This window comes from Homo sapiens, chromosome 5, assembly GCF_000001405.40.
Source record: "Homo sapiens chromosome 5, GRCh38.p14 Primary Assembly".
In the NCBI taxonomy this organism is placed as follows: domain Eukaryota; kingdom Metazoa; phylum Chordata; class Mammalia; order Primates; family Hominidae; genus Homo; species Homo sapiens.
The window spans coordinates 180,505,271-180,529,729 of NC_000005.10; the positions used below are offsets into that span (position 1 = coordinate 180,505,271).

Below are 24,459 nucleotides of genomic sequence, written 5' to 3' on the forward strand. Positions count from 1 at the left end.
TTTGAGACGGAGTCTGGCTCTGTCGCCCAGTCTGGACTGCAGTGGCGCGATCTCGGCTCACTGCAAGCTCCACCTCCCAGGTTCACGCCATTCTCCTGCCTCAGCCTCCCGAGTAGCTGGGACTACAGGCCTCCGCCACCACACCCAGCTAATTTTTTTTGTATTTTTAGTAGAGACGGGGTTTCACTGTGTAGCCATCCTGGTCTCGATCTCCTGACCTCGTGATCCGCCCACCTCGGCCTCCCAAAGTACTGGGATTACAGGTGGTACTAGTTAATTTTTTTTTTTTTTTTTTGAGACGGAGTCTGGCTCTGTCGCCCAGTCTGGACTGCAGTGGCGCGATCTCGGCTCACTGCAAGCTCCGCCTCCCAGGTTTACGCCATTCTCCTGCCTCAGCCTCCCGCGTAGCTGGGACTACAGGCACCCACCACCACGCCCGGCTAATTTTTTGTATTTTTTAGTAGAGACGGGGTTTCACTGTGTTAGCCAGGATAGTGTTGATCTCCTGACCTTGTGATCCGCCTGCCTTGGCCTCCCAAAGTGCTGGGATTACAGGCTTGAGCCACTGAGCCCAGCCAAGTACTAGTTAATTTTTAAGACTGCAAAAGGGTCCCGAGACGGTAGTGTTTTGAGATCTGCTGTCTTAGTGTATTGTGGAGGGTTTGGGACTGTAAAGTATAGGTGAGGAGGTTAATTTGGGAAAGATGATGCATCTGAGACATAAATGAGGGGCTCATGATCCCAGCAACATATTATTTGGATAATGAACAGAAGATCTTGGTCTTGCAAGTGATAGAATTCTTGAGAATGAGGCTGTGGTAGAATAGAAAGACTAGCTTTGGAGTCAGATTGTCCCTGGTTCAAATCCCAGCTCTACAATTCAGTTACTAAGTGTGCAATCTTGGGTAAATTGCATAAACTGTGGGTCTCAGTTTCGTCTTCTATAAGATAAAGGTAGAATCTACCTCATGGGTTGCTGTGAGAATTAAATCAAGGTCATACAGGTAAATTATTGCATAGTAGTTGAAAGCACAAACTCGAATCAGACTTGGGTTAAAATAACAGTTGTGTCATTTAGTATCCCTGTGACCTCAGGAACGTTATTCTCCGGACCTTCTTTCTTTATGTAAAGATTATAATAGTGTCTGCTCACAAGAGTTCTGAGGGTTAAATGAGATAATGCATGTAAAGTGCTGGATAGACCTGGCAGGTAATGAGTGCTCACAGAATAGTTGGCTACTATATGCCTAGTGCAGTGCATGGCAGATAGGTGCCCAACACACTTTTGCCATTACACCTATCTATTTGATGTTTGCTCTTATTTTGCCGTAGCGTGTCACTAAGATAGATTTTTTATAGTTTAAGTTTGTCCCCTTGCTTCTTACCTCAGGCTATCCCAGAACCAGTATTTTTAGTTCTCTTGGATATTAAAGTCCTTTCTATTTTCTCTAGATTTTGCCTTTTAGGTAATAGTTTTTCTTATTCCTAGTAAGATAGGCACTGCTTTTAAGGCTTCTTTTGCACTCTTAGAAAATGTTTGCTTTTATACTATCCTGGCTTCTCCCTTTAAATTCATATAAGCATTACCTGAATATTTGCCAAGCTCTGGAGTTATAAAAATATTTAAGATATGTAAATGGAAGAAGCCTGTGTTACAGAATGTGAGATAAAAAAATACTAAGGCAGGTTTAATGAATACAACAGTAGACATGTTTTCGAGGTTTAGCATAGCTCAGAGCTGGAAACAGTAAACTTCTGTGTTTGGGAGGGATATGGAGGAAGGTTGTAATGCATGTTTTAAAGTTGAATGTCTGAGTTGGCATTTGAAGGATGACTAGGGGCCTTTTGGTGTCTGGGGCGTTTCAGGCAGAAGACATGGCATTGCTAAGGCATGAAGGTTTGTGAGGGGTAAGTGGGAATTAGGGAGATCCAAGATGATACTAAGGAGGTATACAGAGATCAAGTCAAACTCAACTTACTTGTTTTGTAAATGAGCCTGGGTTTCCTGTTTCCAAGGGTATTGAGATGAACAAGATATAGTTTTAGGGGCCCGGTGTGGTGGCTCACGCCTGTAATCCCAACACATTGGGAGGCCCAGGCGGGCAGATCACCTAAGGTCAGGAGTTCGAGACTAGCCTGGCCAACCTGGTGAAACCCCGTCTCTACTAAAAATACAAAAAAATTAGCCAGGCGTGGTGGTGGGTGCCTGTAATCCCAGCTACTCTGGAGGCTGAGTTAGGAGAATCACTTGAACTCGGGAGGCAGAGGTTGCAGTGAACCGTGGTCACGCCATTGCACTCCAGCCTGGGGGACAAGAGCGAGACTCCGTTTTAAAAACAAAAAAAGATACAGTTTTAGGAACATGATGTACTTGTATTTCTAGGACTGTCACTTTGGACGGTATATTTAGTACATTCTTGCACTGCTATAAAGAAATGTGTGAGATTAGGTAATTTATGAAGAAAAGGGGTTTAATTGGCTCTTGGTTCCACAGGCTGTGCAGGAAACGTGGCTGGGGAGGCCTCAGGAAACTTAAAACCATGGAGGAAGGTGAAGGGGAAGCAGGTAGTCTTCACGTGGCCAGAGCTGGAAGAAGTTGGGGTGGAGATGCTACACACTTTTAAACAACCAGATCTTGCGATAACTCACTTTCTGAGACAGCACCGAAGGGGAAAAGCCACCCCTGTAATCCAGTCACCTCCCACTAGGCCCCACCTCCAGCACTGGGGATACAATTTGACATGACATTTGGGTGGGAACACAGACCCAGACCATATCAGACCGTATCTAGGATGGATTAGAGATGGGGAGAGTGGTGGAGGAAAGACTATGGGTGTGAGACTGTTGGAATAGCTCAGGTAAGAGCTGAGGGAATTAAGGCAGAGTGGGTGAGAGATTTAGGAAGTAAAATGGGCTAGAGTTGGAGACTGGATATGAAGACTGTGACTAGGTAAGGAAGGGTCAAGGATATGCTCATATTTTTGGTTTGGAAATCTGGGTGTAAGCATAGGAGAAAGGGCAGGATTGAAGACCAAGATGATAATTTGTTTTTTTAGTATGAGACGGAGTCTCGCTCTCTCACCCAGGCTGGAGTGCAGTGACGCAATCTTGGCTCACTGCAACTTCTGCTACCTGGGCTCAAGCGATTCACCTGCCTCAGCCTCCTGGGTGGCTGGGACTACAGGCGCACGCCACCATGCCCAGCTAATTTTTGTATTTTTATTAGAGACGGGGTTTCACCGTGTTGGCCAGGATGGTCTCGATCTCCTGACCTTGTAATCCACCTGCCTCAGCCTCCCAAAGTGCTGGGATTACAGGTGTGAGCTACCACGCCCAGCCTAGTAAAGTTTTTTATTTTATGTTTTTATTTTTTCAAGGCAAGGTCTCACGGTCACCCAGGCTAGAGCACAGGTGCCATCATGGCTCACTGCAACCTCAATCTCTAGAGCTCAAGCAATCCTTCCACCTCATTCTCCCAGGTAGCTGGGACTGCAGGTGTGTGCCAACATGCCCAGCTAATGTATCTTATTTTAATTAATTAATTAATTTTATTATTATTATTATTTTTTTTTGAGAGGGAGTCTCACTCTCGCCCAGGCTGGAGTGCAGTGGCGTGATCCTGGCTCGCTGCAACTCTCACCTCCCGGGTTCAAGCAGTTCTCCTGCCTCAGCCTCCCGAGTAGCTGAGACTATAGGCAAGTACCACCATGCTCAGCTAATTTTTGTATTTTTAGTAGAGACAGGTTTCACCATATTGATCAGGCTGGTCTCAAACTCCTGACCTCGTGATCCACCTGCATTGGCCTCCCAAAGTACTGTGATTACAGGTGTGAGCCACAGCGCCCGGCCTATTTTATTTTATTTTTATTTTTTTATTTTGAGACAAGGTCTGGTTCTGTCACCCAGACTGGAATGCAGTGGTGCGATCTTGGCTCACTGCAACCTCCGCCTCCTGGGCTCAAGCCGTCCTCCCGCCTCAGGCTCCCAAGTAGCTGGAACTACAGGGGCATGCCACCACACTTGGTTAATTTTGGTATTTTTTTTTCTACAGACCAGGTTTTGCCATGTTACTGGTCTTGAACTCCTGGGCTCAAATGATCTGCCAGCCTTGGCTTCCCAAAGTGCTGGGATTACAGTTGTGAGCCACTACACCCGGCCCTGATTTTTTTTGTTTTTGCTTTTGTCTTTTTGAGATGGAGTTTTGCTCTTGTTGCCCAGGCTAGAGTGCAATGGCGGATTCTCGTCTCATTGCAACCTCTGCCTCCGGGTTCAAGTAGTTGAGATTACAGGCATGCGCCACCACACCTGGCTAATTTTTTTTTTTTTTTTGTATTTAGTAGAGATGGGGTTTCTTCATGTTGGTGTAACTCCTGACCTCAGGTGATCCACTTGCCTCGGCCTCCCAAGGTGCCGGGATTACAGGCGTGAGCCACCACACCCAGCCTAATTTTTTATTTTTACGTAGAGACAGGATCTCCCTATGCTGCCCAGTCTGGAACTCCTGGGCTGAAGTGATCCTCCTACCGTGGCCTAGTAAGACCTTTTTGATACCTTGGTGTTTTTTTTTTTTTTTTTTCACTAGCTACTCTTTGTTAAATTCCTCCTATGCAATTCATATGGTTTGCTTTGGGAGATTATCACGGGGTTCTGATACCAAGATACCTGCCATAGTATCATCAGCAATTTATAGTAGTCTCAAAATGTGTAGTTATGATTTAAGTTTTGCCTGTTAGTCAAGAGTAGTTATCTTTTGCAGAAGCTTTTTGTTGTTGCTGTTTTTTGTTTGATTTCCTACAAGGAAAGACTAATGATAGACATTTGCCACTAAGGACAGCTCCTAAATGAGGTTTATCGTCTGTAAACCTTTTTTTTTTTTTTTTTTTTTTTTTTTTTTTTTTTAAGAGATGGTGTTTTTCTGTGTTGCCCAGGCTGGAGTGCAGTGGCTATTCACAGGTGCAATGATAGCACGCTATAGCCTCAAACTCCTGGGCTCAGCCTATCCTCCTACCTCAGCCTTCCGAGTAGCCAGGACTTCTATCCGTAAACTTTTAACTGGCCAATATGTGAAGGAAACCTGACTAGAAAGAGAAACAAACAAATGTGATGACATTGGGAGGCAGCAGATTTTGGGTTTGAAGTGAGAGTAGAAGTGCCTTAACTGAATTGAGGCTGCGAGAAAGGCTTGTGACTATCGTCTAATGGAACTAAGTGGGTTTGTTTATACTAGAGGCACAGGCACATATTTTTAATTTGTAGAATTCAAATCATACACTTGGCAAAACAGCAGGCGAATATATTAAAGAATGTGGTAGGCCTGCCATCTCAGTCATAATTGTAATTTGAAATTCCAGAGTATGTGTATTTAAAAATAGCATTTATTAAATTATTGTCTTTATATGACATTTAAATGTTCATTATCTAAAAGTTTTAATATACCTATAAATGAATTGTCATTTAGATTGTATTCAAAGAGGGACTGATTTTTGGGTGAGTGTCTTTTGGGGCTTTTTGTTTTGTAATAATGGAAAATAGCACAGTTACTTTTTTTTTTGCGACAGAGTCTCGCTCTCGTCACCCAGGCTGGAATGCAGTGGTGCCATCTCAGCTTACTGCAATCTCCATCTCCCGGGTTCAAGCTATTCTCTTGCCTCAGCCTTCTGAGTAGCTGGGACTACAGGCACCTGCCACCATTCCCGGCTAATTTTTATACTTTTAGTAGAGATGGGGTTTTGCCATGTTGGCCAGGCTAGTCTCGAACTCCTGACCTCAGGTAATCTGCCTGCCTCGGCCTCCCAAAGTGTTGGGATTACAGGTGTGAGCCACCGTGTCCAGACAGGCAGGTTTTTTTTGGCATATGTTTGTAATTTGATTTCCTTTCTTTGGATAATTCCTTTTCCATTTTTAAATATAATTAAATTTTTTGGAGGGCAGGCACAGTGGCTCGCGCCTGTAATCCCACCACTTTGGGAGGCCAGGGTGGGGAAATCGCTTGAATCCAGGAGTTGGAGACCAGCCTGGGCAACATGGTGAAACCTTGTCTCTACAAAATACAAAAAAAAGGCCAGGGGCGGTGGCTCACGCCTGTAATCCCAGCACTTTGGGAGGCTGAGGCGGGTGGATCACGAGGTCAGGAGATCGAGACCATCCTGGCTAACACAGTGAAACCCCATCTCTACTAAAAATATAAAATATTAGCCGGGTGTGGTGGCATGCACCTGTAGTTCCAGCTACTCGGGAGGCTGAGACAGGAGAATCACTTGAACCCGGGAGGCAGAGGTTGCAGTGAGCCGAGATCACACCACTGCATTCCAGGCTGAGTGACAGAGCAAGACTTTGTCTCAAAAAAAAAGCTGGGTGTGGTGGCCTGCACCTGTAGTTCAGCTACTTGGGAGGCTGAGATGGGAGGACCGCTTGAGCCTGGGGAGGTTGAGGCTGCAGTGAGCCATGATTGTGCTACTACACTCCAGCCTGGGCAACAGAGTGAGACCCTGTATCTGAAAAAAAAAATAATTTTAAAAATAAAAAATTTTTTTGAGCGACAGGTTCTCTCTCTGTTGCCCAGGCTGGCCTTGAACTCCTGGGCTCAAGCAATCCTCCCACCTCAGCCTGCTGAGTAACTAGGATTACCGGCATATGCCACTGCTCCTGGCTCCATTTTTAACATATCACTGTTTTCCTTCTTCCCTTTCCATCAAAAGCATGGCTTGGAACTCATTTCTCTTAATCTGTTTTGAAATTTGTAGTTTCATTCAGCTGTCTTCTCTTGTAATGTGTGAAAATTATGAACTGCAATAAAGACAGGATCTTTGGAAAGATGAGTTGTATTGTATTTTAGTCTACTTGTGAAAGCTGTGGATTTCAGAATGGTCTTTGAAGAATACTCAGCAAAACTTCATTATTGTTTTGTTTAGTCTTGCTTTGTGTAAGGCATTCATGGTTCTGGTTTTGTGAGAAAACAGCTTGTGAGCAGACCCACTGTGGAGGCTAGGTGGGAAGGAGGTGGGTAACATTTAACTTAACCTTGAATTATAGATAGAATTTCAGTGTGAAAATGGTATCACTAAATGCTTGGAGATAGGGAAGAGTGGAGCGTATCTGAAGGATGGCAGTTTGTCTGCCAGTTGCATCAAAAGATATAGAAGGAAATATTGGGACAGAAGTCTGGAAAGGTGGAATATTTTGAATTCTCAACTGCGGAGTTTGAATTCTTCTCAGCAGTAGAGATCTTAAAGGGGAAGAGAAGGGATGATATAGAATCATCATTTTAAGTGGGTATAGGACCAGAAATCATTACAGCTAAACATTCAAATTTTATTACTATTTTTATTCTTATTTATTTATTTTTGAGACAGAGTCTTGCTCTGTTGCCAGGCTGGAGCGCAGTGGCGCAATGTCTGCTCACTGCAGCCTCCACCTCCCAGGTTCAAGCAATTCTCCTGCCTCAGCCTCCCGAGTAGCTGGGATTACAGGCATGCACCACCATGCCCGGCTAATTTTTGTATTTTTTAGTAGAGACAGGGTTTCTCCATATTGGTCAGGCTAGTCTTGAACTCCTGACCTCAGGTGACCCGCCTGCCTTGGCCTCCCAAAGTGCTGGGATTACAGGCATAAGCCACTGCACCCAGCCATTTATTTATTTATTTAAGATGGAGTCTTGCTCTGTCGCCCAGGCTGGAGTGCAGTGGTGCGATCTCGGCTCACTGCAAGCTCCGCCTCCTGGGTTCACGCCATTCTTCTGTCTCAGCCTCCCGAGTAGCTGGGACTACAGGTGCCCGCCACCAATGCCCGGATAATTTTTTTGTGTTTTTAGTAGACACGGCATTTCACCTTGTTAGCCAGGATGGTCTGGAACTCCTGACCTCGTGATCCACCCGCCTTGGCCTCCCAAAATCCTGGGATTACAGGCTTGAGCCACTGCACCCGGCCATTTATTTATTTTTTGAGACAGGATCTCTGTCGCTCAGACTGGAGTGCAGTGGCACAATCAAGGCTCACTGCAGCCTCCACCTCCCAGTCTCCAGCGATTTTCCCTCTTCAGCCTCCTGAGTAGCTGGGACCATAGGCGTGTGCCACCACACCTGACTGATTTTTTTTATTTTTATTTTTTATTATTATTTTGAGACAGAGTCTTGCTCTGTCGCCCAGCCTGGAGTCTGGCACAATCTCACTCATTGCAACCTCCGCCTCCCAGGTTCAAGCGATTCTCCTGCCTCAGCTTCCCTACTCTTAGAGTAGCTGGGATACAGTCGCGTGCCACCAGGCCCAGCTAATTTTTGTATTTTTAGTAGAGACAGGGTTTCACCATATTGGCCAGGCTGGTCTTGAACTCCTGACCTCGTGATCTACCCGCCTCCGCCTCCCAAAGTGCTGGGATTACAGGTATGAGCTACCATGCCTGGCCCTTTTATTTATTTATTTATTTATTTATTTTTATTTATTTATTTATTTTTGAGATGGAGTCGTGCTCTGCTGCCCAGGGTGGAGTGCAGTGGCGCGATCTCAGCTCACTGCAAGCTCCGCCTCCTGGGTTCACGCCATTCTCCTGCCTCAGCCTCTCCGAGTAGCTGGGACTACAGGCGCCCGCCACCACGCCCGGCTAATTTTTTGTATTTTTGGTAGAGACGGGGTTTCACCGTGTTAGCCAGATGGTCTCGATCTCCTGACCTCATGATCTGCCCTCCTCGGCCTCCCAAAGTGCTGGGATTACAGGCGTGAGCCACCGGGCCCAGCCCATTTTTATTTTTTGTAGAGATAGGGGTTTCCCTATGTTGCCCAGGCTGGTTTCGAAATCAAATGGTCCTCCTGCCTCGGCCTCCAAATGTGCTGGGATTACAGGTTTGAGCCACACCATATGGCTGAAACTTCTCGATTTTATAGTCAGAAGTCAGCTTCACCGTAATCCCAGCACTTTGGGAGGCCGAGGCGGGTGGATCATGAGGTCAGGAGTTCGAGATCAGCCTGGCCAACATGGTGAAACCCCGTCTCTACTAAAAATACAAAAATCAGCCACATGTGTTGGGGGGCGCCTGTAATCCCATCTACTCGGGAGGCTGAGGCAGGAGAATTGCTTGAAGCTGGAAGGCAGAGGTTGCGGTGAGCCGAGATAGCGCCACTGCACTCCAGCCTAGGCGAAAGAGCGAAACTCCATCTTCTTCAAGTCTGCTTCACAAAGAGCTTGTTTTACTGAATTTTGCAGTGTAATTAGGACTTGGCTTTAGGAAGAATAATCTAAGTGGTATTTAGGTTAGTTGTAATCCTAAAAGCATAAGTACCAATTAGAAGAGGCCATTGTAATGGCTGAGGAAATGAGAATTAAAGTCCTAAATTAGAGTGGTGGTAGCAAAAATAAGAGAGTTGTAGTGTGAGTGCATGGTTTTGAGGTTTTTGTTTGCTTTCCAGTTGCTTAAGCTGTAAGATCATGCATTTCTTATTTATTCTTTATTCATCGTGCCTGGCAGAGTGCTTGTCACATTGAAGGTACTCAGTAAATATTTGTTGAATAAATGATTCTGTAAAGAAAACTTCCTTAAGAAAGCATGATTCCACTGTACTGAATTGCTTTTGGATTTTTTTTCTATGAAAACCTGATTTTGGTTGTGAAGAAAAAAATAGACCAGTTCATTAGCGTAATTTGCTAGGCATTACACAAGACATTGGGAGATACAAACTGTTTAGAGGTGATATATGCTGTGGTAAACGTATGGTGTGCATGCAGAGTGGGGAGTACTGAACTTGTTTCCGTGTTGAGGAGGGCTTACAGAGGCTGTAACATGTCGTCTGAGTTCCTGTGAAGAGAAAGTAGGAGTTTAGGATGAAGGTTGTCTTTGATAAAGAGATTAGCATGTATTGAAAGACTTATATTTTAGGCTGGATGCAGTGGCTCACGTCTGTAAACCCAGCACTTCGGGAGGTCGAGGCAGGAGGATCCCTTGAGGCCAGGAGTTCAAGACCAGCCTGGGCAACATAGTGATGCCTCCCATCTCTACAAAAAAAAAAAGAAAGAAAAAAACAGAAAATATTAGCTGGGTGTGGTGGTGCCTGAGCCCAGGAGCCTATGATTGCACCACTGCACTCTAGCTTAGGTGACAGCGAGACATTGTCTCAAAGTCTTAGAACTAGGTTTCCTCTAATTAGGACATTGTAGGGTAGCATGTGTCAAAGGGCTGGAGATAAGTGAGAAAATAGTTAGCTAAGTTGAGGTAGTAGAGGACTTTGAGGTTTGGACTTTAGGCAGGCAGGCAGGGCCATCTAAAGTTTTAATAGGAGAGTGGCATGAGCAGGTGCATATGAGGAAGGTAATCGATGGCAGTGTGGGGAGGATGTGTAATAGTTGAAGTTGAGAAATGAGGAGGGTCTGTATTAACTTCAGTGGAAGTAGATTGGCATGAAAGTTAGTGTCACTGCCTTTTCATATGCGCCCTAACTTACAGTAGCTCTAAGGAGCCTGATTACTAAAAAAAAAGGGGGTCTTTCTGCACGTGAGTTTATTTCTTCCTCCTTACCTCCCTTCCTTTCCTCTGTTGCTCTTTGTTTTCTCCTTTATGGTTGGGAAAAGAAGTAAAGCACAAAGAATGGAGAAGAAGAAAATGTGAAAAGCATAGTAAAAGGAGAGAGAGATGTCAAATTCAAGATTAAAAAAAAAAATTTTCTTTTTGAGATCAGGGTCTCACCGCGTTACCCAGGCTGGTGGAGTGCAGTGGCTTGATCTCATCTCACTGCAACTTCCACTTCCTGGTCTCAAGCCATTCTCCCACCTCAGCCTCTCAAGTAGCTGGGACTACAGGCACACACCACCACGCCTGGCTAATTTTTGTGTAGACAGGATCTTCCATGTTGCCCAGGTTGGTCTTGAACTCTTGGGCTCAAGTGATTGGCCTGCCCAGGCCTCCCAAAGAGCTGGGAAAATTCAGGATTTTTTTTTTTTTTTTTGAGACGGAGACTTGCTCAGTCACCAGGCTGGAGTGCAGTGGCGCCACCTTGGCTCACTGAAACCTCCGCCTCCCAGGTTCAATCGATTCTCCTGCCTCAGCCTCCGAGTAGCTGGGACTACAGGCACATGCCACCACACCCGGCTAATTTTTGTATTTTTAATAGAGATGGGGTTTCACCATGTGTTGGCCAGGATGGTCTCGATCTCCCAACCTTGTGATCCGCCTGCCTTGGCCTCCCAAAATGCTGGGATTACAGACGTGAGCCACCGCGCCCAGCTCCAAAGTGCTGGGAAAATTCAGGATATTATCTTGTCAGTTAAGATTGCCTGTAACTCAGTCTCATTTCCCTTGAAGAAAATCTGGCCCACTAAAATAAATAGTTAAACGTCTGAGAGGCTTTTAACAAAAAACCACATTTTTATACCTGGTCAGAGTAACATCACGCAAATCACTAATGTAAACATGAACTAGGTGTTAAATGTCTTCTCTCATTGTCCATAAAATTTTTTTTATTGCTGATTTGTGGATCCAACATAGGGATCATTCATTGCATCTGATTATATTCCTTAATTCTCTTCAAATCTAGAATAGTGCTGACACCAGTTTGTTGAAGGCAACAGGCCAGTTTACTTGCAGAAAATCCCACATTCTCATTTTATCTGATTGCTCCTTTGGTGTCATTTGGCCAGTTCCTCTAGTTTTCAAATCAAGGTGTAAACATTACTGACGTGTGTTTCATACTGCACCACATCAAGAGACCCCAATATCTGGTTCTTCCTCCATAGTATTGGTAAGATTGGTGAAGGGGGTAACAATTTATTCCTCCATTAAACGTTTTCTACCTTATGATCAGAAAGTAATCTATGTAGAATCTGTGTAGTGGTGGCTTTTAGCATTTCATTAATGCCAATATTCATCTAATGCTTTTAACCCAGTATAATCCTTTTTGTTTTTTCTAAGGGTTTCACTCCTTTCGCTCAGGCTGGAGCGCAATGGCGTGATCACTGCCCACTGTAGCCCCGACTTTCCTGGCTCAGGTGATTCTCCCATCTCAGCCTCCCAAGTAGCTGGGATGTACCACCATGCCCAGCTAAATTTTGTATTTTTAGTACAGACTGGGTTTTGCCATGTTTCCCAGGCTGATCTTGAATTCGTGGGCTCAAGCTATCTGCTCACCTCAGCCTCCTGCAGTGCTGGGATTACAGGCATGAGCCACTGTACCCGGCCGTTTTTATAATCCTTGAATAATGTCGAATGGGAATTATAAAATGATGTTGCTTGAAAAAAATTCTTTCATACTTAATTTATTAGCTATCATTGTTTTGTAAAGTAGGGCTTTTTTTTTCTTTTTTCTTCTTTTTTTGAGACAGTCTCTCTCTTTTGCCAGGCTGGAGTGCAGTGGCGCGATCTTGGCTCACTGCAACCTCTGCCTCCCGGGTTCAAGCGATTCCCCTGCCTCAGCCTCCTGAGTAGCTGGGACTACAGACGCCTGCCACAAAGCCCAGCTAGTTTTTGTATTTTTAGTGGAGATGGGGTTTCACCATGTTGGCTAGGCTGGTTTCAATTTCTTGACCTCGTGATCCGCCCGCCTCGGCCTCCCAGAGTGCTGGGATTACAGGCGTGAGCTACTGCGCCTGGCCGAGTAGACCTTTTCTTAAACGAGGGCTGTTTGATTACACTGAATCCAGTTGCTGCTGAGGTGTAACCACTTAAATCTTTCTTTTTAGTTACGTGTCTCCATATTGTAATAGCTGCTTCAGATAGTGACTGACTTGCAGTCCATATGCTGTCTCTTCCCCCATCTCCCCCTCTCTCCTCGTCTTGATTACTATAGTAGTTTCGTCTTTTACATCATTGCCAGCTCTTTTTTTGCAGCACAGAAAGGATTATGTTATCTCTCTTTTGTTTTGGCTTGATTTTTTGAGGTTCTCATAGATTTGTATTGATTCAGTGTGTTTCATTTCATTGTGATTATGATTCTTACTGCTCAAATGGTCATAGTTTGTCCTGTGAGGACCCCTTCTAGCTGGCTTCTGTATCATGTTGACATGATGACTCCATTAGACTTAGCTTTTTGGCACTGAAAGATGTCCCAGGCTCATTTTATACATTTCCTGCCCATCTTTTGATTGGCCATTTTACAAAGAACTTTGCTTTCTTGGTATTAGAGCTTGAAATTGAGAGTTTAGGAGTGCCATTATTCCGGAGATAATATTACTTCTGCAACACTTCAGTAGATAGAAATAAATTAAATCACAAGTCTATATTGATATTCTCAAGCCAGTTTTAGTATTTGTGTGTGTGGGGGGGAGGAGGGAGTTGATGGGGGAAGGGAGAGACAAGGTCTCACTCTGTCACCCAGGCTGGAGTGCAGTGGTGTGATTGTAGCTCACTGTAGCCTTGACCTCCCAGGCTCAGGTAGTCCTGAGCCTCAGGTGGCATGTGCCACCACACCTGGGTGATTTCTTTTTAGTTTTTGTAGAGATGAGGGAACTCCCTTTGTTGCCCAGGCTGGTCTCGAACTTCTGAGCTTGAGCAGGCCTCCTGCCTTGGCCTCCCAAAGTGCTGGGATTACTGGTATGAGCCTGGCCAGTGTTTCCGTTTAATTTCCTTGATTTATAAACGCGCTCTTTCTCTGAAAATCTTGGTTCCTTTTAATTTAACTTAATTTAGTTGTTTAAAACATTTTCTTGTAGAGACGAGTTCTTGCCATGTTGCCCAGGCTGGTTTCGAACTCCTGGGCTCAAGTGATCTGCCTACCTTGGCCTACAAAGTTCTGGGATTACAGGCGTGAGCCATATTGTCCAGGTTGTCTTGGGTTCCTAAGATGAAGCTAAAATGAGCTACTGAGAGACCAACTTTCCAGAGTTTATTCAGGAATAGCAGGGAATTGTAATCAGGGACACGTGTGCTGTAAGGAATCGTAGGTGCATCCAGAGAGGTTGGGGTAAGAGGAAACTTTTAAAGACAAAGAGGAAGTCCAAGTAAGTTGTTTTGAAACAAAGACTGTTGGTTACAAGGGCTTATTGCAGGAGTTGATGTTGGTTCATTGGTAGAGAAAGCTGTGTCAGGCAATTGTGCAAGCAGGTTATCTGGGACACTGCCATTTTGAGGAATTCCTTGCATAGTGAGGTCTCCATTTGGTTAGAGCTTGACATTAGTCACTCCATTTTGATACTGATAACTTTTGCATTAATGTCATTAACAATGTGATAATGAGTACTTATTTAGCAAAAGTTCGTGGGCTGTATGTTTCCTTAGTAATTGCTCATCTGGAAAAAGTCCTTTCATCTGGCCAAGTGTTAGAATATAGAATATTTTTTAGTTCAGGTAAAATTTACATAAAATGCAATGTACATGTACACCTTAAATGTATAATTTGAGTCTTGATAAATATGTATATCCATATAAACCATACACCAATTAATATATTGAATATTTCCATCACTATAGGGGCAAAATGTTCTGATTTTTATCGCCACAAATACATATAAATGGAATCTCTTGGGTCTCTTATTTAATGTTTGAGATTCATTCATATTTGTGTGTATCAGTTAATCGATTCTTTTTTTTTTTTATTGTTCAGTAGTATTTAGTGGTGTCAATATGTTAAAATTTGGTTATCCATTTGCTTTTTTTTTTTTTTTCCCTGAAAAGGAATCTCGCTCTATTGCCTAGCTGGAGTACAGTGGCTCAATCTCTGCTCACCACAACCTCTGCCTCCTGGATTCAAGGGATTCTCCTGCCTTAGCCCCTTGAGTAGCTGGAATTATAGGCATGTGCCACCACATCCAGCTAATTTTTGTATTTTTGGTAGAGACAAGGTTTCACCATGTTGGCCAGGCTGGTCTTGAACTCCTGACCTCAAGTGATCTGCCTGCCTCTGCCTGCCAACGTGCTGGGATTATAGGTGTGAGCCACCGCATCCAGCCTATCCATATACTATTAATGAACATTTAGATTTTCAGTTTTTGGCAATTATGAATAAAGTTGTTATGAACAACTATATTGTCAACCTGAAATAATTGAAATGATCAGAATCCAGTTTCAAAGAGTTTTTAAATAAGAGTTTTTAGATGAACATCTGGGAATGACTAACTGGGGAATATGGACTCCAGAGCACTGGGATCTGGGCTTCAAAGTTAAAAGTTAAGGGCCTGGGCCGGGCGCGGTGGCTCACATCTGTAATCCCAGCACTTTGGGAGGCCAAGGCAGGCAGATCACCAGGTTAGGAGATCAAGACCATCCTGGCCAACATGTTGAAACCCCATCTCTACTAAAAATACAAAAATTAGCTGGGCATGGTGGCGCCTGCCTGTAATCCCAGCTACTCGGGAGGCTGAGGCAGGAGAATCGCTTGAACCAGGGAGTCAGAGGTTGCAGTGAGCCAAGATCACGCCACTGTACTCCAGCCTGGCGACAGAGCGAGACTCCATCTCCAAAAGAAAAAGAAAAGGTGCCGCTTATTTATATAGGCAGGAAACAAAGACATTTAATAGGATTACAACATTTTCTCTGCAAGGTTGGGGTTTATGAGTTACAACAGTTTAGTTACAGATTGTTTTCTTTTCCATATAGCTTGTTTGTTTTTTCTTTCCAAGAGTGTGTTTAACATTCCATCTTTTTATTTTTTATTTTATTTTATTATTTTTTTTTTTTTGGAGATGGAGTCTCTTTCTGTCGCCCAGGCTGGAGTGCAGTGGCGCAACCTCAGCTCATTGCAACTTCTGCCTCCTGAGTTCAAGCAATTCTCCTGCCTCAGCCTCCCGAGTAACTGGGACTATGGGCACCCGCCACCACACCCAGATAATTTTTGTATTTTTGGTAGAGACAGGGTTTCATCGTGTTGCTGGTCACGAACTCCCGAGCTCAGACAGTCCGCCTGCCTTGGCCTCCCGAAGTGCTAGGATTACAGGTGTGAGACACCGCGCCTGGCACATTCCATCTTCCAAAAATGTGGTAGTCATGAAGTTTTTGTGTGAAAGAGGAGGAAAGAGGGAAATTAATCTGTAATGAATATCAGCAGTTAAGAGGAAGAGGAAAGACATCTTCCCTGGCACTCACTGGTTAGTCATTTACGACATTTTACAGAACAATGTAGGTAAGAAATAAGGTAATTTATAATCAGAGAAGCAAAAGCTACAGCTGCCTAGGTTACAGTTGCCTGTTTAAGTGACTCAGGTTTCATAATCACATTCTCTTAAGGCTCAAAATATTTAACAAGTTCCAACAGCCTAGATTTTGAATTACTTATTTTTGCAATATACATATCTTTTGGGGTGTGTATATTTTCATTTCTTTTGGGTAAATACTCAAAGGTATATGCGCTGACTTACAGACTGAGTAATTACTTTTTTAAAATAGTTTCAAGTTTTATTTTAGATCCAAGGGGTACATGTGCAGGTTTGTTACATGGGTATATTGTGTGACATTGAGGTTTGGGACATAAATGATCCCATCACACAGGTAGTCAGTACATTCTCAGCCCTTGCACTCCTTTCCCTCTCCTCCCTCTAATAGTCCCTAGTTTTATTGTTCCCATGTTTGTGTCCATATGTACCCAGTGTTTAGCTCCCACTTACACAGTATTTGGTTTTCTTTTCCTACGTTAATTCACTTAGGATAATAGCCTCCAGCTATATCCATGTTGCTGCAAAGGATATTATTTCATTCTTTTCTTGTGGCCATGTAGTATTCCATGATGTATATGTGCCACATTTTCTTTATCCAGCCTACTGTTGATGGCAGCTAGGTTGATTCCATGTTTTTGCTATTGTGAATAGTGCTGCAGTGAATATACCAGTGCATGTACCTTTTTTGTAGAAAGATTTATTTTTCTTTGGGTATAGAACCAGTAATGGAATTGCTGGGCCAAACGGGTAGTTCTGGTTTTTTATTTATTTATTTTTATCTGTCTGTCTATGTATCTATCTGTCTATTGAGACAGAGTTTCACTCTTATCACCGAGGCTGGAGTGCAGTGGTGTGATCTCAGCTCACTGCAAACTCCATGTCCTAGGCTCAGACGATCCTCCCAAGTAGCTGGGACCACAGGTACATGCCACCATGCTGGCTAATTTTTGTATTTTTTTTTTGTAGAGATGGGGTTTTGCCTTGTTGCCCAGGCTGGTCTTGAATTCTTGGCTCAGGTGATCCGCCCTCGTAGGCCCCCCAAAATGCTGGGATTGTAAGTGTGAGCCACTGGGCCTGGCTTAGTTCTATTTTTAGTTCTTTGAGAAATCTCCAAACTGTTTTTCACAATGGCTAAACTAATTACATTCCCACCAGCAGTGTATAAGTGTTCCCTTTTTGGGGCAGCCTCGCCAGCATCTGTTAGTTTTTATCTTTTTAGTAATAGCCATTCTGACTGGTGTGAGATGGTATCTCGTGGTTTTGATTTGCATTTTTCTGTTTAGTTATGTGGAGCATTTTTTCATGTTTGTTGGCTGCTTGTATGTCTTGTTTTTTGAGACAGGGTCTCACTCTTGCCCACGCTGGAGTGCAGTGGTGTTATCTCTGCTCACTGTGGCCTGGACCTCCTGGGCTCAAGTGATCCTTCTGCCTTAGCTCCCAAAGTAGGCTGAGGTGGGAGAGGGCATGGAAGCTCTGCACCCCTGCGCTGTTCCTCACCCTGTATACAACTTCATCTGTCTGTTCATCTGTATACTTTACCATATCCTTATAACGAACCAGTGAATGTGTTTGCCCGCATTCTGTGAGCCGTTCTAACAAATTAATCCAACTCCAGGAGGGAGTGTTGGGAACCCAGCTTTATAGCCGGTCATCAGAAGTGTGGGTGATGACCTTACTTGTGTCTGAAGAAGAGAGGGGCAGTATTGTGGGACTCAGCCCATAATCTCAGTGGGATCTAACTCCAGGTAGATACTGTCAGGATTGAATTGAGCTATAGGACACTCAGGTGTGTGGTATATGCTGGAGAATTGCTTGGTGTGTGGGGAAAAACCTTCACACATCTGGTCACAAGCGTTTGTGTTAAGTGTGAGCATAGAGGAAAAACAGTTTGTCTTTTACAGTTGCTTCTCAGGTACCCCTTTTCTTTTCCCCTTAGATGTTCATTTTGAAGGTTAAGTAGAGATGGCTTTTCTTTTGCTTACTGGGGTGGGGCAGGGGGTTGTGGCATATCTGCTGGTTAGGGGCTGTTAGGATGGGTGGATTTCAGTTCTGGTTTTTACTATTTTGTAACTACAAATCCTTTTCCCAGGGGCACACTCAAATGTTTGATTGTCCCTAATTTCACTGAACATGTTTGATTCCTGACTGAAAAATAGACCAGAGGCTCTCCCCCTTTCTTAGGGTTCTCTTTTCAACAACTATTTCTTTTCACCTCTCTCCTAACCAGAGGAGGTTCAAATATATTTAAGTGCTTTAAATGTAACTTTTTCTGCTTGGTCTTTGTGGGTATCTTCATTCCAGTTGGTTTTCTTCACTTTCATTTCTTTTCACTTTACTTCATATTCTGCTAAGTCTCTTATAACCCCTCACTGTGATTCCTATCCCCAGCTCCCGCTAACCCCCAGCATTTCTGCAAGTGTGAAGTAGACTGGATTCCTGAAGGTTTTTTTTCTCCCTCTAGATTCTGGCAGACATTCAAAGTTTATGGTATACGTGCAGGCCGCTCTTTAAATGTTCCTGGATAGTCTTTTCATGGTTTGTAATTCTGCTTTGCACCACTAACTTTCCCAGGATGGCCATAGGTTTTGTATGTTTAAGCTGTTTCATAAGCAGATCTGAAAGCATGTCTTTCTAATAAATACAAGGAATGTTTTGTGTTTCTTTAAGTGAAATAATTATTCTAAGATCATGAAAAAGTGCTCTGAGAACCGAAACAGGTAGAGATTTTTGTTTGATTGTGCCAGGATCAGTAGTGATGTCTGGCATTTGATTGGTAAGATGTTAACTAGTTAGGTGCTATATGCCTGCTGACTCTTGACTCTGGCCTAGCTATTTTAAAAAAAATTCTTTTGTAATTCTTGAAAGTTTTCAGGTGTTTTTTGGAATACTTTTATTATTTTAGGTAGTAATCTTCAGTGACATACTATACTTTTTAGAGAGCAAGAAGTACTTGTTGATTTCACAGCCTTGGGAAAGATCCTAAACTGCATGTATTCCTATATCCTTTCCTTTACCTAATCTGCAGTGCTATACTTTGTTAGACTCCCAGAAAAATGGATTGGGTTTTTCAGTGGGCATATGTCCAATTTGCTATGTTTCTTTTATTCTAGCCTTTTTTTTTTACTTCCTAATTCTCAATCTCAGAGATTTGGAAAATAGAGAAGCACTGAAGAGATCTTCAGTGCCTTGGGGCTTAAAATGATGAGTACTTTAAATTTTAAGACAGCCAGTCTCACAATACGAAAAACCAAGAAAGGGAATGGTTGGCTGCCTAGGTGGAAATCAAGACTGTTTGATAGAATGACCACAGGTACAGGGCATGGTTTTCAGATTTCTTAGTCCAGTAACACTTCCTGAAGTATGATCAAACTGAACATTGATTCACACTAAGCTTACATGAGATTGATAAATCAGACTTCTGAACTTTCATCAATAATTCTAATGATTAATAGGACAAAAATACTAATCTCAGCTGGTCAGAGCAATTTCTTACCATTATTAAATTCTATCTGGGAAAGCTAATGAAGATCAGATAGTTACTTTGTAAGTGGAGTCTGGTCAGAACAGTGGCATTTAGGTGATCTTAAGGGATGCTGTCATCAAGCTCTGGTAGCATAGAACAGAGCATTTTATATTTTCTAGGTTATTACTGATACATGCGTGTCATTCAGAAAGAGCACTTTCCTTACCATATGGTTCTCTAGACAGAAGGAGCACTTCTTTGTGTTTGTTCTTTTGTATTGAATATTTTTTTATCCGTCTAAAAACAGCAGTTATTATATTTCTATATTGAAGAAACTAACGTATAAGACCAGTTTGTTTTATCTCACCATTTATATTCTTAAGAAGCTTTTTAGGATTACTTACTTCCTTCTGTGCTTTGATTAAACAGTCAAAACCCATTTCTATGTTTGAAAAGTAGGCCGGGTGCGGTGGCTCATGCCTCTAATCTTAACACTTTGGGAGGCTGAGGCAGGTGGATCGCATGAGCCCAGGAGTTTGAGACCAGCTTGGGCAACATGGCGAAAACCAATCTCTACAAAAAAAATACAAAGATTAGCCTGGTGTGGTGGCGCATGCCTGTAGTCCCAACTACACGGGAGGCTGAGGGGAGGATGGCTTTTGAGCCTGGGAGGTGAAGGCTGCAGTGAGCAGAGATGGCACCATCGCACTCCAGCCTGGGTGACAAAGTGAGACCCTGTCTCAAAAAAAAAAAAAAAAAGTAGTTCTATTTCCTGTCAGCAGGGAGGCAGCATAGCATAATTAAAGTAGCTTTAACTTTTAATCAGACTCATTTAAAGCCTGACTCTGCTGTTTCCCAGCCTTGTAACAGTGGGCAAATTGCTTAAACCATTTTGAGTTTCTGTTTTCTGGTAAAATGGAGATAATTGCAACTCTGCAGGAAGAACTAGAAAAAACTAAATCTAAAGAGTTAGGAGGAAAACCAAGAAAACCGATATCCTGGAAGCCAAGCAGTGTGTTTCTAGGCGGGGGCGATCATCTATATCAAATGCTGATCATAAGCAAAAAGAGGTCAGAGAAGTGACCATTGGAAATAAGAATATAAGATCACTGGGTTTCTTCTTTTAAAAAAAAATTAAAAACAAAATATTTTTAGAGACAGGGTTGTGCTTTGTTACTCAGAGTGGAGTGCAGTGGCATGATCATGGCTCACTGCAGCTTTGAACTCCTGGACTCAAGTGTTCCTCCCTCCCCAGCATCTCAAAGCCGTTGGGGTTATAGGCGTGAGCCATTGTGCCTGGCTACTGGGTTTCTTCTTGATAGTTTTTGGTGAAAGGTTGAAAACACTTACGAACTTGAATGGGTTTAACTGGGAGGAGAAGGCAGAGAACATACACAATTCCTGAGGATTGTTTTTGCTATAGAGAGAATGAGAGAAGCAAAGTAGCTGGAGCGAGAAATGAACTTAAGACTTTTTAATAGAGGAAAGAATAGCACATATATGTGTGCTGAAGGTAAAGATCCAGGAGGGAGGCATAATGTGATGAGAGGAAGGAAGGGATTGCCAGAGTAATGTCCTTGAATAGGCAGAATGAGGGGGTGGATCGAATTGCACAAATGGCTTACGTGCTAAGGGCAGGGATAGATGGGCATAGGTGGGAGTTCGTAGAAAGGGCCCTTCTGGCATTCTGTTTCACTGCGAAAGTCAGGTCATCAGCTGAGAGGGAGGATGGAGGAGTAGGTGTTAGAGGTTTGAAGACAGAAGTCATCTAGGAGAAGGGGATAGACTAGGAATTTACAGTATTATTTCTGGGCAGTATACAGAGTCTGAGGAATGATTGCTGACTGGCTCACTTTAAACTTACATGGTCATAGGCTTTTCTCCAGCTATGTTTAGCTGCATGGGTATACAGAGTAGGTAGACAATTGGTTAAACCAGGATTATGATTTATCCAAAAGAATAAAAGCGAGACAAGAACAAGGGCTTTGAGGGAATATGCATGGGAGTGATGTTTTATTTCACCTAAATATTTTAGAATGTATCTATAATGGACAAGAATTTAAAAAAATCACATACAACCGTAAAACTTTTTTTTTTTTTTTTTGAGACAGGATTCACTGTCGCCCAGGCTGGAGTGCAGGGACACAGTCACATCTTACTGCAGCCTCAACCTCCTGGGTTCAAGCGATCCTCCCACCTCAGCCTCCTGAGTTGCTGGGACTATGGGTGTATACCACCATGCTTGGCTAATTTTTAATTTTTTTGGTAAGAGATGGGGCCCAGGGTGGTGCTGGTCTCAAACTCCTGGGCCCAAGCCTCACAAAAGTGCTGGGATTACAGGCATGAGCCACTGTGCCTGAATCACAATACTTGTTTAATATTAACTGATATTTAGTCTATCTTCAGGTTTCTCTCATTTTCAAAATCAGAAAAACCAGATTTGTTTAAGTTGGAATTAAACAAGGTCTGTACATTGCATTTGATTGCTGTGCCTCTTAAGTCATTTATTCCATATGTTTCATTTTACTCCTCTTTTTCAGACCATTGATTTGTTCAAGATATTTGGTCTTTTGTCATCTAGAACTTCTGTATTCTGCGTCTGGATGTCTGTATTCTTGTATTATTTTTACTTTAAAAAAATTTTTAATTGTAAAATTCACAACATGATAGTTACTACATAAGCAAGTGTAACGTTCTGTAGTATTAAATACGTTCACATGGTTGTGTCCTGTGGTGTTATTTTAAACACGTTCCTCTAGATCCCTTACTTTGTGTAAACTAGTATCAGATCTAGAGAGGCTGGATTTGATTCAGGTTCAGTTTTTAACTTTGTTGGTGAGGGGTCAAGGACATAGGTGGTTTATGTGTACTTCTCATGGTGTCTTATTGGGAAGCACGTAATGTCTGGTTGTCCTAACGATGAGACTGATCATTGGGTTTAGGTCTTGTAGCCCAAGGGTTCTCAACCCTGGTACTCGTCCATGGCCTGTTAGGAACTGGGTCGCACAGCAGGAGGTGAGCGGCACGTGAGCAAGCATTACTGCCCAAGGTCCACCCCGTCAGATCAGCAGCAGCAATAGATTCTCATAGGAGCACAAACCCTCTTGTGAACTGCGCATGCGAGGGACCTAGGCTGTGCGTTCCTTATGATGCGATCTAACTAATGCTTGGTGATCTGAGATGGTACGGTTTCATCCCGAAACCACCCCACCCTCCCCAAATCTGTGGAAAATTGTCTTCCACGAAACTGGTCCGTGGTGCCAAAAAGGTTGGGAACCACTGTTGTAGCCTGACTATCCATTTAAAAATTTTCCACTGATTTTTTTTCACACTTAATGGTTTTATTAACCATTGATCATTGCCTAGATCCATTATTTTCTTAGAGATTGTAAACTGATTATTTTCTAATTATGTAACTCTTTTTGGATTTATTAGCTAGAATTCTGTTAAAAACAGTCACTCACCTAGTTTCTGCCAGAAATGCAGGATAAATGTTTGATTCTTTTATTATTTATTTATTTATTTATTTTTTGAGACGGAGTCTCGCTCTGTTGCCCAGGCTGGAGTGCAGTGGCACGATCTTGGCTCACTGCAAGCTCCACCTCCCGGGTTCACGCCATTCTCCTGCCTCAGCCTTCCGAGTAACTGGGACTACAGGCGCCTGCCACCATGCCCGGCTAATTTTTTTTTTTGTATTTTTAGTAGAGATGGAGTTTCACCACATTAGCCAGGATGGTCTCAATCTCCTGACCTCGTGATTCACCCGCCTCGGCCTCCCAAAGTGCTGGGATTATAGGCGTGAGCCACCATGCCTGGCCGATTCTTTTATTTTCTAATTTTCAGGTGACTGAGTTTTTTGATTTTTAGATAAAATTATGAATTCATGAAGTTCATGATGACTCAGTTGCAGTCATTTTTCTGATGTTCAGATTGTCTCATAGTTGGTCAGTGGAAGCTTCTTCAAGCTGGCTTCTGTGTCCCCCACAGCTGCTGCACCCTTGTTAGCTTCACAGCTTGTTTGTATCTGTCTTGTCCTGTGCTTGGAATAATCAATTTCTGCAAGAAGCTCCTAGTTTCTTTCAGTGGGAAATGGTAGAGATTGTAATATGGGTGTCCACTTTTAAAAGATGTGGGTCGGGCATGCTGGCTCACTCCTGTAATCCCAGCACTTTGGGAGGCCAAGGCGGGCGGATCATGAGGTCAGGAGTTCAAGACCAGCCTGGCCAATATGGTGAAACCCCGTCTGTATTAAAAATACAAAAATGAGCCCGGCATGGTGGTGCACGCCTATAGTCCCAGCTACTTGGGAGGCTGAGGCAGAAGAATTGCTTGAAGAGGTTGGAGTGAGCCAAAATCGTGCCACTGCACTCCAGCCTGGGTGACAGAGTCAGACTTCGTCTCAAAAAAAAAAAAAAAAGGTGTTGTGGCTTTTGTTTATTTGATTTTTTAGAATACTGATTGGTTTCTTTTCTTAACAGGCATGCCCAAAGAAAAATACGAGCCCCCTGACCCTCGGAGGATGTATACAATTATGTCTTCTGAGGAAGCAGCAAATGGAAAGAAATCCCACTGGGCAGAGCTTGAAATAAGTGGTAAGACATGGAAGCATGAATTTATGGTATGGAAATTAAGATATGGTAGTAAACTGAGTTTTCTAATGCCAATACAGGAAAGAAACATTGATTTTATATTTTACAAATGTAATGTATTTATAAATGATTGTATTTTAGTAACTTATCTTAGAAGCAGGAAGGTTCAATGAAAAGAATATGATTTGAGTCAAAGTTCAAAAGCCATTCATTGAATATTTTCTCAGTATCAGTGTCCTCTTACAAAATACATAAATGTAAAATAATAACAAGGATGAAATGAAAATAACACATGTGAAGTGCTAGTGCCCAGTCACGTATTTGTTCTGGTATTTGATTCTCTG

The 24,459-nt window shown here is 43.0% G+C and overlaps 1 protein-coding gene across 12 annotated transcripts in view, besides 1 other annotated feature; it reads left to right on the forward strand.

Moving 5' to 3' along the window:
• The window catches only part of CNOT6 (CCR4-NOT transcription complex subunit 6), an 83,980-nt gene that overhangs the window by 10,892 nt on the left and 48,629 nt on the right, over positions 1–24,459 (forward strand). For 11 of the 12 annotated variants that reach the window (NR_163437.1, NR_163438.1, XM_047417436.1 and 8 more), the window contains one exon: positions 24,005–24,118. Coding sequence is in view for 9 of the 12 variants with exons in the window: in XM_047417436.1 (XP_047273392.1) it covers positions 24,007–24,118 (112 nt within the window). In the remaining 3 variants the exon portion in view is untranslated. The other variant, XM_017009671.3, reaches the window with a different exon arrangement.
• Positions 22,194–22,695: an enhancer, noted in NCBI's record as "NANOG hESC enhancer chr5:179954464-179954965 (GRCh37/hg19 assembly coordinates)". NCBI's record gives its function as "activates a minimal SCP1, AML or CMV promoter by ChIP-STARR-seq in primed H9 embryonic stem cells {active_cell/tissue: H9 hESC(primed)}" and the evidence as "EXISTENCE:reporter gene assay evidence [ECO:0000049][PMID:30033119]".